This window comes from Homo sapiens, chromosome 12, assembly GCF_000001405.40.
Source record: "Homo sapiens chromosome 12, GRCh38.p14 Primary Assembly".
Classification (NCBI taxonomy): domain Eukaryota; kingdom Metazoa; phylum Chordata; class Mammalia; order Primates; family Hominidae; genus Homo; species Homo sapiens.
Genome location: NC_000012.12, coordinates 94370361 through 94385282, shown reverse-complemented (window position 1 = coordinate 94385282; position 14922 = coordinate 94370361). Strand labels below are relative to the sequence as shown.

Sequence of the window (14922 nt, the reverse complement as noted above, 5' to 3'; positions counted from 1 at the left end):
GCCCTGTGGTATCGATGGAGGTAACATGAGGAGCAATAATAAATTACTCCTACGCTTCCCATCCAGGGAGGTGTCAGTTGAGGCCTAATGGGGAACCAGAACTCCCACCCCTGTTCATTATGGGTATCATGAGAAGCCCTCCCACCTTGGGTATCAACAGAAGTAGAGTGGAGAATCGGGACTACTACCTCCTCGTGGTAGTAATGAGGTGGCAACACCACCCATCCCCTACCATAGCAATATCACAAAAAGCCAGCTAATACAAACTTTGTTTAAGATCTGGAGTCTCATAACTTAATTCCCCAAATGTCCAAGTTTCCATTGAAAATTGCTTGTCACACCACGAACTAGGAAGGTCTGAAACTGAATGTAAAACACACTAATAGATGCCAACACTGAGATGCAGAGGTGTTAGAATTATTTGACAAACATTTCAAAGCAGCCATGGTAAGAATGATTCAATGAGGAATTATAAACGTGGTTGAAACAAACAAACAAACAAAACCCAAAAGACTTAGCAAAGAAACAGAGAATAAAGAGAAGAAAATTGGAAATTTTAGAACTGAAAGAGTGACTAAGAAAGCCTGAGTTGCCAGGCTCAACTGCAGAATGGAAGGGATAGAGGAAAAAACTACTGAGCTTAAAGGTAGAACATTAGAAATTACCCAATCTGAACAGACTAGAGAAAATAGATTTAAAAAGCAAATAAACAGATTCTCAGTATCCTGTAGGACTATAACAAAAGATCTAAGATTTCTGTCCCTGAAAGGAGAAAAGAGGGCAGGGTGAGAAGGTAATGGAAGAAATAATGACTAAAAACTTTCCAAGTTTGGTAAAGGCACAAACATGTAGCTTCAAGAAGCTGAACACATTCACAGCAAGAGATACCATAGTCAGGTTTAAAAAAAAACTATAGGAAAATCTTGAAAGCAGCCCAAGAAATTATATCTTACCCATTGGGGAAAACAATTAGAAAACTAGCTCATTTCTCATCAGAAATCAGAGGCCAGAAGGAAGTGGCACATTATCAAGTGCTGAAAGATAAGGACTGTCAACTCATAATTCTATATCCAGCAAAAATATCCTTCAGGAATGTAGGGGAAATCAAGACATTCTCAAATGAAGGAAAATGAAGGAACTTTTTGCCAGTAGACCTATCCAAAAGAGAAGTTTGTCTAAATAGGAAGAAAACAGTAAAAAGAAGGAATCTCAAAGTATTAGGAAGGATAAATGTACATGGTAAACAGAACTGTGGGTATATGTAATAGACTTCCTTTTGCTTCATGAATTTTCTAAATTTTGTTTGGTGGTTGAAGTAAAAATTTTAACTCTGATGTGGTTCTAAATATATAGAGAAAATATTTTAGGTAATTATATTATAAATGAGCAAGGACAAAGGGATATAAAAGGAGGTGAAGTTTCTACATATCACTCAAACTGACAAAATGAATTCAGTAGACCATGATAAGTTACATAAATATAATAACTAGAACAACCACTAAGAAAGCTATACAAGGAGATACATTTAAAACATTATAGATAAAATGGAATCCTGAAATATGTTCATGTAACAGGCAAGAAAAAGAAAACAGAGAAACTAAGAGAAGAAACAGACCAAAATGGCTTAACGTATCAATCATAATAAATGTAAATGGTCTGAATACATGAATTAAAATACAGATATTTACAGTGTAGATTTTTAAAAATGACCTAACTGTACTGACAGTCCCCAGATTACAGTGTTTGAACTTGGATGATTTTTCAACTTAACAATGGGTTTATTGGGATGTAACTCCATTGTAAGTCAGGGTGCTCCTTATGACATATGGTTTCTACTGAATGCATGTCATTTTATACCATTGTAAAGTTGAAAAGTTGTAACTTGAACCATCATAAGTCAGGGTCCATATGCTGTGTTGCCGGCATAAACTGCATTTTTCACTTTTCATGAGTTTATTGGGATGTAATTGCATCATAAGTCAAGGGGTAACTGTATGATGTCTATAAGAAACTCCAAGTATAACAGTATAGGCAGTTTGTAAATAAAAGGATATACAAAGCTATATCATGGAATCATTAATTAAAAGCAGGAGCATCAGTATTAATATCAGATAGAGCAGACTTCAGGGCAAAGGAAAATAACAAAGAAAAATACCAGATTTATATAGAAAGAGATTATATAGTGACAAAAGAGGTCAACCCAGCAAGAAGACACAGGAATACTAAATGTATGTGCACCAGAGGTGCAAAATGTTTGAAGCAAAAATTGAAAGAACTAAAAGGTGAAATAGACAAATCTATAATTATAGTTGGTGACTTCATACCCCTCTCTCAACAAGTGATAGAACAATTAAAAATCAGCAAGGATAAATAAGAACGCAATAACACCATCAACCATCAGAACCTAAATAACATTTATAAAACATGCCACCCAAGGAGAACACCCAGACATGTTCTTTTGAAGTATTCGCTGAATGTATATAAATGCTCACTGAACATATACAAGATAGACCATATCCTGGGCTATGAAATAAACCTCAACAAACTTATACAACTTGAAATCATAATGAGTGAGTTTTCTGACCACAATAGAATCAAACTAGAAATTAATAACAGAAAATAACAGGGAAATCTTCAAACACTTGGAAATGAAATGACATACTTAAAAAAATTTATGGGTCAAGGTGGAAATTTCAAAGAAAAACATTTCAATGAGATTACATTTCAAAAAATACATTGGATGAAAATGAAAATGCAGCATATCAAAAATTTTAGGACACAGCTAAAGCAGTGCCAAGAAACATTTATAGCACTAAATACATGCATTAGAAATGAGGGAACAAGTCAGTAATGTAAGCTCCCACCTCAAGAACCTAGAAAAAGAGTATCAAAATAAAAGTAAAGCAAGCAGAAGGAGGGAAATAATAAACATAGCAGAAATTGAAAACAAAAATAATAGAGAAAATCAGTGAAACAAAGAGCTGGTTCTTTGAAAAGACAATAAAATTGACCAACTTTTAGCAAAACTAACAAAAAAGATGGAAGATAAAAATTTTACCTATCTCAGGAATGAAAGAGTATCACTCATGACCTTGCAGACATTAGAAGGGAAATCAGATAATCCTTTGAACAACTCTACTCTAATAAATTTGACAATGCAGATGAAATGAATCAATTTCTTAAAAGGCACAAACGACCACAACTCATTTAATGTGAAATTGGCAGTTTGTATAGACCTATTACTGTTAGGGAAATTCAATCTGTAATTTTAAAACTCCCAAAATGAATAGTTAACTAGAGAATTTTACCAGGTGTTTAAAGAAGTATCAGTACCAATTCTACATAATGTCTTCCCCAAAAAGGGAAGAGGAATGTTACCAATAGGGGAATCTTGGTTAAAGGATATACAGGATCCCGCTATATTAATCCTTATAATAATTCCTTGTGAACCTGCCATTATCTGAAAAAGTTTAATTTTAAAAGAAGTAACTGAAGAAAGAAAAGACATCTTATACAGAGGAACAGATAATGACGACAGACTTATTTTTACAAGTAATAAAAGCCAGAAGACAGTAAAGCAATATCTTTAAAATACCAAAAGAAAAAAGAAACCTAGGCAGTTTGATTCCAGAGCCTTTTCTCTTACCCATATCCCTATGTTATATCGTAAAGGTAATAACAACAAAGAAGGATGGAGTAATTAGGTAACACTACCTTTCCCTCTTGTGTGCCTTGGGGAATTGAAGTGCTATCATTTTTTGAAAAGGAAATCAGTCACTATTCCTAGTCCCTATTGTTTCTGTTTAGTTTCCTTTACTTCAATAACTTTTTAAAAAGTAATATTAGTTAACACATTGTCTTATCTGTCAAGTAAGTTTGTATTTAGAATAGAATAGAGTAAATGTAGAGGTAGCTGCAATACAGGCAGATTTAAATAAAGTTCATAAAAGAGAAATTTAAACAAAGCCCTTTGGAAATTTAGAGGAAAGATTGAGAGCACAAGAAATTGAGGACATCAAGGAAGATGACATGTAAGTCTGATTGAGAATGGCGGAAAAAGAAAGAGCTGAGGCTGTATCCAAGATCTGTGCCAAATGTCTGGGACACAAGTGGTGTTATGGCAGTGATTGAATGTAATAAGCTCTGCATCAGCAGAGGTTTTGTGTTTGCTTATCTGCTGGGTTGTATCCTTACTACCTAAAACAGTTTTGGGTACTTAGTAAGTACTCAGTAAATATTTGTTGCCTGAATAAATAAATGAATAGCAAAATTAGATGGCAGTTTTGTAAGAATGATTTGATATGTCTGGTTTAGGAGTTATAAACATGGAATCTAATTTTCAGTCATCAGCTAGCTGTCATCCAGTCTCATAGCTTCAACTATCACTTCAGCTATCACACAGATGCCTCCCAAAACGTGGAAAGAAAGCAATAATATGGGAAGTATGCAGGTCAAGAACATTGTGAACTGTGTGACCCTATGTGTAAAATGGGGACTACAAGAGAAATTATTGTTAATGTTGATTTTACATGTAGAGCACTTAGCTCAGTATTTGATCCATAGTAAGTACTCAGTAAAGGGCACCATTGTCTGAACTTGAGTTACACATTGACTCCTGACCTTAGATGAGCCATCACACCTCTAATATAGCACATTAAAACCATATCAGGTTACCTCATGTAAAAGGTAAACAGTATCTTAAAGATCAGCTAGCCCAAGTTCTTCATTTAAACTGAGGACAGAATACAGTGGATAAAAAAGTAATCCGGGACCAAACCAGGAAGTAATAGTTATTTGTAAAGCGTGGGAGGAAAAATAGGAGAGAAATACTAATTAGTTGGGCTTTTGAGGACTTAACTCTAAATGCCACAGCTGCCTTCAAGGATAAATTTTATTCTCTGCAAAATAATATTTGTCTGCTGGATAGCTCTACCTATATTTCTCATTGGCATTTAAATTCAGCATGTCCAAAAACAAACTGGAATCACTATGTGTTAAAACTAAAAAGGTTGTTAGAGTGCATGTAATTCAGTTTCCCATTTTACAGGTGTGGAGAACAGATCCTGCCCTGGGGTGGAGGTCTTAAACTTTTTAGATTCATTGATAGTGCTGTGATCAAACAGTTGTTTCTTGGACCACTTTTGCCTAAGGTTTTGGAGCATTTCTTTAGTTTTTTCTGTTTTTGTTTTTTGTTTTTTTTTTTTTTTTTTTGCAGGGCCGGGGAGCTTACAGTGAGTCTTTGATGTTCATCCTGGCTACAAACAACCTCTTGTCCTGTTTTGAGCAGTGGTTTTCAACTTCTTCTTAACAAACAAAAAACCCAGCTGAATCATTTACTTAAGTTGAATCATTTGAAGAAACCCCAGAAAGAGACTAAAAATAGAAGCGTATGGTTAATGCCAGAAATTTGGTGGGGGTGGTGGTAGGGGATAGATAGTTGGGGAGATCAGGAAAGGGAAAGAATGAGTTCTAGACCCTGATTGCTTGCCCCTGGTCTCCAGAGGTGAGGAGCTTCTGAAATGCCTCAGAGGTTAGGAAACAGTTTGAAACCCACTGATTTGGAGGCCCACGAAGTCCAGCAGTGATAATTGGCATGAATGACAAGACCACTGGTGTCTCTGCTCTGCAAGTTCCCCAGTGACTTTAACACCTGCCCTGGAGTAATGATTTTTCAATTCTTCTTGAATCTAAGAACTAAGAACTAGGCCATCATTACAATTAGGACTTTAATAAACTCTCAGCTATCATTTAAAAACTCTCATCAATCACATTTGCTTTTATGTACACAGACAGGCAGTTTTTGTGTGAATTAAGTTGCCCTGACATAGATAATTTTATTAGTATAGACTAGCTCAAGAATTACAGTCATGTGAGGAAAAGCTTTGGAGTAGTCAGAGTTTTGGTCATGAACCCCTATAATGTTATGATGAATTTTAAAATACTTGATGTATGTTTAGTACTTACAGTATTATAATTTTAAATTTTAGTCAGCAACTGATTAAGCCCTGTTCTAGACACCACGTGGAGATACAGGGAAAACAGGACACAGTCCTTGACCTCACATTTGAGTCCCACTAAGAACAAAAAGATAGTGATACTTAAAATTTTTTCCTTTGTACTTTGTTTCAGCACCTGAGCTTTGATTTTGTGCATTTTTTAATTTTACTGACTTGTAAAGCATGTTCATGACTGAAAATTTAATAATTTAACCTTGTATGCTTTCTTTAAAATTATTATTAGATTGCAAGACTGGAGGAAGATAAAGAAGAACTACGTAACCAGCTGCTTAATGTTGATCTCACAAAAGACAGCAAACGAGTGGAACAACTTGCTCGAGAAAAAGTCTATTTGTGTCAAAAATTAAAAGGTTTAGAGGCTGAAGTAGCGGAATTAAAGGCTGAAAAGGAGAATTCTGAGGCTCAGGTGGAAAATGCCCAAAGAATACAGGTGCGGCAGTTGGCTGAGATGCAGGCTACAGTCAGATCCCTGGAGGTAAGATTCTAATTACTTCCCAGTAGAGTATGGCATACTTTTTTAAAGTGCAGTTGACAAGCCTTTGATTTTTAGAGCATAAATGTATGCCCCCCAAGCTAATGCTGATGCATTTGTGTAATCCCAAGAGTATTTATTCTTTTAGTAAAGAAGAAAGCTATTGATTCATAAGCAATACGTATGCTACCACATTTACAAAGGGGTATTTATTCTTTGGGAGTCAAGTCACCTATCTGAAATGTCTTAACTCTTAAAATGCCACATAATAGAATATGCAAAATAAAAATATATGTATTTGAGTTTCTGAGCGTAAAGTCATCTCAAACCAGAAAGAATAATTTCTTTCAAGATAGTACATTCCTTACACTGGGATTTGAGGTCTTAAAGTCACAAATCCTGTTTGAACAGAAATACCATACTGATGTATCTTACGACAGCTTCTTGCCAGAGTAGTAAAATCCAACTGTAAAGGTATACATGCCTTTACAGAATTATTTCCCTGGGTTCATTAGAGAAAGATAAGTGTTGGCAGACCTGACTGGTACTCCTACGGGTATTGCCTTATGAAAATTCTTGGTTTCCATTTTATTCAGATACACTTATTCTTCTTAGTTCTTAGTGCCTAACTTGTAGCAAACATACCTGTTTAATTGTTTTTATTTATTTTGTATAGTTCAAAGTGTTTCTTTTTCCTTTGGAATAGTTATAAAATGATTTGGGTGGGGGGGACATTAGCGGGCATTTAATTTGTAGTTAAAATCAATATCCAAATCCAAGATGGTGATTTTTTTTTTCCCCAGCCAGTGGTACAGGAGTACAATGGTATGTTTTGAAGAGTAGAAGTTACTTTTTATTTTGTTACATGACGCTCTGTCAGTATTTACTGGTTTTCTGAATTAAAAGTTGTCAGTATCATTGTACCTTAAACATGAAGCAGTTCATTGTGAGACTATTTATGTTGCCATCCTTCCATCCTTAATGTATTTTACACAGTGACAGAATAAGTGAGATGATTGCAGTTGAATATAGCATACAGTCCTGATGTGAAACTTTCCATTGAGGTCCTTTAGAGTGATTATTTTCAGGGCAAGTTGAATGATGACAGAAGATTTATTTGTGACATTTTCAGAAGAGCCTATATTTAATTTTATTATTTGTCAGATGAAATGAAAATAAGCGTATGACAGCAAGCATTTCTTTCTTCTTTAACTTTCTTGGCTATCATTGTGCCCAGAGAGTATTATTTCATATATGAAGAAAATAGTTTTTTTCCCTAATTGTTTGTCGAATATAGTCCTTACCACATTTAAGCTAGATGTTCCCCAACTTAAGGTGGTTTGACTTACTATTTTTTGACTGTCCGATGGTGTGAAAGCCATATATGCATTTATGTACTTTGAATTTTGATCTTTTCCTGGGTTACTGATATGTGGTGTGATACTCTTAATGCTGGGTAGCTGCACTGAGCCACAGTTCCCAGTCAGTCATGTGGTCATGAGGGTAAATAACCTCTTTACAGAGTACTGTGTCGCCAAATGATTTTTTCCAACTGTAGGCTAATGCACGTGTGTTGAGGATGCTTAAGTTAGGCTAGTCTAAGTTATGGACTTAGGTATTTTCAATTTGTGATGGGTTTATCAGGATGTAACCCCATCATAAGTCGAACAGCATCTATATGTACGAAATGAGATGTTATAAAACTGAAATTTATCCTTTAAATGCCAAAATGTCTTCATTTTAATTATGTTGAGGTCAGGTGTGGTCGCTTATGCCTGTAATCCCAGCAGTTTGGGAGGCTGAGGTAGCTGGATCACCTGAGCTCAGGAGTTTGAGATGAGCCTGAACAACACGGGTGAAACCCTGTCTCTACAAAAAGTACAAAAATTAGCCAGGTGCCATGGTGTGCACCTGAAGTCCTAGCTACTCGGGAGGCTGAGGCAGGAGAATTGTTTGAGCTTGGGAGGCGGAGGTTGTGGTGAGCCAAGATCGTGCCATTGCACTGCAGCCTGGGAGACAGAGCAAGACCTTGTCTCAAAAAAAAAATATATATATATATATGTGTGTGTGTGTGTGTGTGTGTGTGTGTGTGTGTGTGTGTGTATATATGTATATATATTATGTTGAATAGACATGTTTTTTCAAAAAAGATTTTAGTTTCCCTCCCCTCATGAAAGAGTACTATCGATATTACCATCCAGAAACTTTTTTGACAACCTGCAGACTTCATTAACAATCTTAATTGTGTCATGAGATCAAGAGCCTCTTTGCTCGTACTTAAAAAGTCTGCAGATGAGCTGAGGATTTTGAAATCATATCTTTCCCTGTTTCTTTTTTTAAAATCATTGATTTTAGATTTTCAATTTTTACTTGTTACTATCAATGAGCCCTGTCTTCTAGTTTCTAATATGCTTTTTCTTATCTGTTATAGACTGGAAACTTCCAAAATGTTTGAAATAAGTCAGTGTTAAGAGTAAATAGACATCAAATGAATGCCTTAGGTACTTTCTGTCGTGAGAGAAGTGTATAAACTTTATTTTATTGATGGTCATTCATATGTTGTTTGTCTAGATGCCTTTGTTGCATATTTCCTGGAACACTATCTTTCGTTTGAATTCTGCCAATTAGTTTGAGAAAATTTTTGTTACATTGGTATATGTTAAGTTGAGGTTTTGAATAATTTTAGTATAATTATAAATGTATTTTAAATAGTGCTTATTTGATTTTGAAATACTTGAAAAATGATGAATTTTAAACTATTTTGTTTGTATGAAAGGCTGAAAAACAATCAGCTAATTTACGGGCAGAACGTTTGGAAAAAGAGCTACAATCAAGCAGTGAACAAAATACCTTTTTAATTAATAAATTGCATAAAGCTGAACGAGAAATAAATACATTGTCCAGTAAAGTAAGTTGTTTTATGTTTCTGTTTCATTCTTTAGAATGTTTGTTAGTATATAATGATAAATTTTATTTTTAATAATTGATTTCTTTATACTGAAATGTTTTATTATATCATTCTGCCTTCTAAGAAATAAATACATTGATCAGTAGAGTATGTTATCTTATGCCTCTATTTCATTCTTTAGAATGCTTGATACTGTACAGTGACAAATTTTGTGTTTAGTTCTCTGTATTGAAATATTTTTAATCCTTTATCATTCTACCTTCCAAATACATGCAGAATCTGATCAATTCTTATGACATCCACTGTGACTATTCCAGTCCAAGCCATGATTTTTCTAGGCTCCATTTCTGTGCTAGGTTGCTAACTGGTCTTTCTGCTTTCTACCCATTCAGAGCTCTGTATGATCTGGATCCTGCAGTCTTTTCACAGCCATGACCTGTATTTTTCCTCCTGTTCACTTTGCTCCCTTTGGCCTTCTCACTCTTTGAGCAAACTCACATCTTGCTCAGGGTTTCTGCACTTGTCTGAGTTTGGCTCAGTCTTCCCTCACGTATCCACATAACTTGCTTCTTCACCACCTAGATGTTGCCTAACCAGGGAGGCTTTCCTTGTCTTCACATTGTAAAACAGCATCTTCCTTCTTCCTCTGTCTTTCTCTCTGTCTTCCTTACCTGCTTCATAGCTCTTAATACTATCTGATATAGTTATTTGGTTTTTATTTTTTGGTCTCTCCTTTTCTTTCCCACCACCTTCCCCTCAACCCAATGTAAGCTCCAAGAGAGCAGGGACATTGTTTTCATCACTACTGCTTTTCCAGCTTCTAGAATGGTGCCGGCACATAGTAGGTACTCAAATATTTCTTCAATGAATAAATTAGTAGTAGCAGCATGATCTACATTTATATTCTCCTTAACAGACTGGATTCAAATTCTGATTTTTTCATTACTAAAAAAAGCTGTGTGACCTTGGGCAGTTCACTGTCTCTCTGAAACTTAAGTGCCTTTGTCTATGCAATGGGACTAATACCTACATTACAGAGTTGTGGCAAAAATTAAATGTAGCTGATGATGAAAATGATAATAGCAGTGATTATACACTGGTGATATCCTTAAATAAGAAAATATTGTAACATAAAGAATACAGAATTTTTAGTCCATTGACTAGTCTGTGTCTCACTGTCTCAATAACTATGTGTAACCTAAGGCAAGTTACCTAATATCATTAGGATCCAATTTCCTTATATCTGTAAGAACCCTTCCAGCCTACTAAGACTGTGTAAGAACTACTAGGAAATAATTTGATTGCCTCCTGATTAACTGTAAGTAGATTATATATTCAACAGATACACATTGAAAGCTTATAACTATAGAGTATACAAAAAAATAGATACAAAACACAAGTAAATTCAGGATATGGGGAGTTTCCATGCTTTTCTTCCAATTCCAGTATAAATTATTTTCAATTTTGTGAAATAATATTGAGTACGTAGTATTTGCAGCACATTGTTCTTGACCTGAGTAGCCAGACTACACTGCTGGAATAATTGGAACCACAGATGTCGCAATAGGACATGGGATGTGCTGGCTTCTGCTGTGGCTTCTCTCTTGGGGGGGCCACCAAGTATAATACTTTTCATGCAGTACATTTTACCTGAGCTCCCTAGCTCACCTGTGTGCTGACCCTGATTTTTCTTCTTTTTTTCCATATATATATACTCTTCCCTATTGCTCTTTCCTCTTAGAGTTAGAGCCTAGGTGATTTCTCCTACTCCGCTGAAGAAAGAACAGCAATCTAGTATAGTATTTATTTCTCTGTGCTTGTTTATTAATACACATTGCTAAGAGTTGCCTGTCTTTTTAAAGGCACACTTGCCTTATTTTGCATATAAATGGAGTATTAAATACCATCCTTCAACTTTAAACAAACCAAGTTTCATTTGAAGTCTTGTATGTAAAGATTCCATTGGAAGGGTAGATTTTAAAATAATATTTCAAACATGACTGCCACAGTTTTCTTTGCAACTTGAAGTTTTCATCAACATTTTGCAATTCTAGCAAATGGTTGTTTGCAGTGCAAAGGAACACCTGGGGTGTGTTTGTCTTAGTTACTCAAATTCATAAATGTTTGTCAGATTTTAGAACAAAGTTATGTCAGTGTGAGTATCAGTGTCTTGGATTAAAAGGTATTACCAAAGATGGCCTGAAAATGATGACCTTAAAGAGATTTCACATTCAGTGAGGTAAATTCTTCTAGTTCCCTCATAAGGTTTTTCATTTTCAGAATGCCAATAAAAGGTAGTTTTAAGAAAGCCACCCAACAGAGTTGTCCTTATTTACCTAAATTAATTGGGTAATTACATCTCAGAACTTTGAAAAAGATCAAGATTTAAGTACCATCTCTTTGGAATCTGTATCCAGAGCTTCTTAGGTAATACATATTGTCAATTATATTTCCATTTCTTGCTTATTTATGCTGTGCTCTTGTGTGTCTTTCTGTGAGTATGTGTACTTTAACAGATACTGACCCCCTGTAAAATGCCCAGTTTTGCCAGTTTTGACATTTATTAAAGTTTTGTTAGTAATATCTGAATACTTCCATTGTGTCAAAACATAAAGCAAATTCACAACATAAAGGCCAGAATCTATATGGCAAACATTCTGTGAAGAACAGGGTGACTTGGTCCAGTGGAGCTTTAGGAGACCATGAATTGCTTGAAATTTTATGCAACATTTTAACATGAGCATTTTATTTAAAAAAAAAATCCCTAATTTTCCTAGGATTTGGGACTTGATCACAAAGAAGATTAAGAACCAAGGATCTAGGGGCAGAAAGAAACTTTACTGTAACATTTGGAATTTGGTTCAGATTACTCATAGAAAAGTGCTATTATTTGTCATTACTGGGTAATACATTTTCATACGTTAAGTAAAATTCCTTTTAGTATATTTTTAGGAAATTAACAGTGTTCATATAAGTGATGCATCAGTGATGTTAGGATAATAGAAATAAGGCAATAAAGAAAAACTTTAGATCCATAAATGAGTACATTTGAATGCAGAGAGGACAGGTAAATTGCTTGAGCATATACCACTGGTTTAACAGCAAAAGTAGGCCTGAAGACAGACCTCACTTGTTGCTTGACTTCCTATTCGGTGTTCTTTCAGTTTCAATAATTGTAGTTTAGTTAAAAATGTCGTCTCATTTCAGTAAATTTCAGGGTGAAATGAATAAGAAATAAGTTTTTGTAGATCTTTTACCATGAGATGAATCAACTTCCTATGAAATAAGATGGCTCTAATTTTCCACCTCATGCAGCTATAGTATGTTTGTTAATGAAATGCTGTGTCATTCTTAACCTTTTACAGTTAGTATATAATAGCAGGTTATAATTACATTTGTCATAGTGATTGGATTTTCTTTGTAATCATATTTCTTCAAAATTTTAAAGTATTTATAATTTAAATTCTATCTGTCCATGAAATTATAATGTAGTAAAATCCAATCTACAGAAAGTTTAAGTATTAAAACAAATTATCAGCTGTTGTCATGTAAACATCATTTTATAAAACTTGCTTTTATAGAAAATAACTTCCAAAAGGAAATTAAAACCACAGGCCAGGTGTGGTGGCTTAACGCCTGTAATCCCAGCACTTTGGAAGGCCGAGGCGGATGGATCACGAGGTCAGGAGTTCAAGACCAGCCTGGCCAAGATGGTGAAACCCCATCTCTACTAAAAATACAAAATTTAGCCAGGTGTGGTGGTGCATGCCTGTAATCCTAGCTACTCAGGAGGCTGAGGCAGAGAATTTGCTTGAACCCAGGAGACAGAGGTTGCAGTAAGCTGAGATTAAGCCACTGTACTCCAGCCTGGGCGACAGAGCGAGACTCTGTCTCAGAAAATAAATAAATAAAAATGCAAAACTGATGTCAGCACAGGGTCACCATTTTATGTACGGTCATTTAAAAATCTACGAGTTAATTTGGAGGGATGTCTTATTGTAGTTACCAGTACATAAGGCAGTACTCACTTTTCTGTTTATTTCCTTTGGATGAGGATTTTGCATGAAACTATTCCTTGAAACGTTTTCAGGACCTTTTGTTGATGGAATATCTTCCAATAAGACACTTCTATTTCTTATCCTTGCCCTCTTTGGCTCTAGGACCTTTTTTTGATTTGTGTCTGACTCCCAACTCCAGTATTTATGGGGTTTTATTGGACTCTTAAGTAAATTGTCTTTTATTTTCCTGTTTCTGCCATCTCACATTTTCTGTATTTGATGTGTATGTATTTGTAGTTTCCTACTCTGATTCCATACTTTTATATATTTGGATAATATATCAGAAAATGGGTTAATCTAACCTTTGTGTTTGTATTGATTAAATCCTTATTATATGACTATATCTAATTTTAGAAGCTCCTTACCAAAGAGAAGGGCTATGGAAAATGAATTTATATGATTTATACTTGTTCCTGCCCCCAATCCCCTACCTAATACTTGTGCACATGCGCACACAGACACAGTCTATACACATTACACTATTTTGTCACCAGATTCAATTGATTCTTCCTTCCCCCCTCCGTTTATTCATTTCTTGCCTCTTAATTGATTTATTTACCTTCAGTTTCTTAAGCCAACAGATTCGCATTAGTTAATTGTGCCACCTTCAACAGCTAACCTGAAAAACAACCCTTTTGTATGGTATATAAAGTTTATTCCCTGCCATTCCTCCACAGATTTCACATCTTCCGGTGCTCTACATGTAATGCTTAGCTTGTTTTAAGAGCAGACCATGTGATGTTATACATATAATAACATTTTGTATGCTGTTCCTTCTACCTAGAATACCTTCTTTGTCCCCAGCACATTTTTTATTCTTAAATTTAATTTTAATTTTTTTTTAGAGACAAGGTCTCACTCTGTTGCCCAGGCTGGAATACATTGGCACAATCATAGCACTGCAGCCTCAAACCCCTAGACTCAAGTGATCCTCTTACCTCAGTCTCCCCAGTGGCTGGGACTAAGGGGCATGTCATGTCTGGCTAATTTTTAAATTTTTTTTTAGAGAAAGGATCTCACTATGTTGCCCAGGCTGGTCTCCAACACCAGGCCTCAAACACTTCCTTCTGCCACAGCCTCTTGAGTAGCTGGGATTTTAGGTGCAAGTTACTGTATCCAGCTGTGGACACTTTTTAAAAGGAAGGTTTCAGGCCAAGTGCAGTGGATTACAACTATAATCCTAGCACTTTAGGAGGCCAAAGCAGGTGGATTGCTTGAGGCCAGGAGTTTGAGACCAGCCTGGTCAACATAGCAAGACCCTATTGCTACAAAAAAATTGAAAAATTATCTGAGTGTGGTGGTGTGCACCTATAGTCCTGACAGCTACTTGGAATGCTGAGGAGAGAGGATCACTTGAGCCCAGGAGTTTGAAGTTGAAATGAGCTATGATCGTGCCACTGCACTCCAGCCTGGATGACATAGCAAGACCCTGTCTTTTAGAAATATTAACAAATTTTAAAAGTTTCA

The 14922-nt window shown here is 35.4% G+C and overlaps 1 protein-coding gene across 36 annotated transcripts in view; it reads left to right on the top strand.

The window, feature by feature from the left end:
- CEP83 (centrosomal protein 83) overlaps window positions 1-14922 on the top strand; it is a 194793-nt gene that overhangs the window by 75172 nt on the left and 104699 nt on the right. For 35 of the 36 annotated variants that reach the window (XR_007063082.1, XR_007063081.1, XR_007063083.1 and 32 more), the window contains 2 exons: window positions 6241-6492; window positions 9266-9397. Coding sequence is in view for 28 of the 36 variants with exons in the window: in XM_047428923.1 (XP_047284879.1) it covers window positions 6241-6492; window positions 9266-9397 (384 nt within the window). In the remaining 8 variants the exon portion in view is untranslated. The remainder of the gene's footprint in view (window positions 1-6240; window positions 6493-9265; window positions 9398-14922) is intronic. The other variant, NR_160431.1, reaches the window with a different exon arrangement.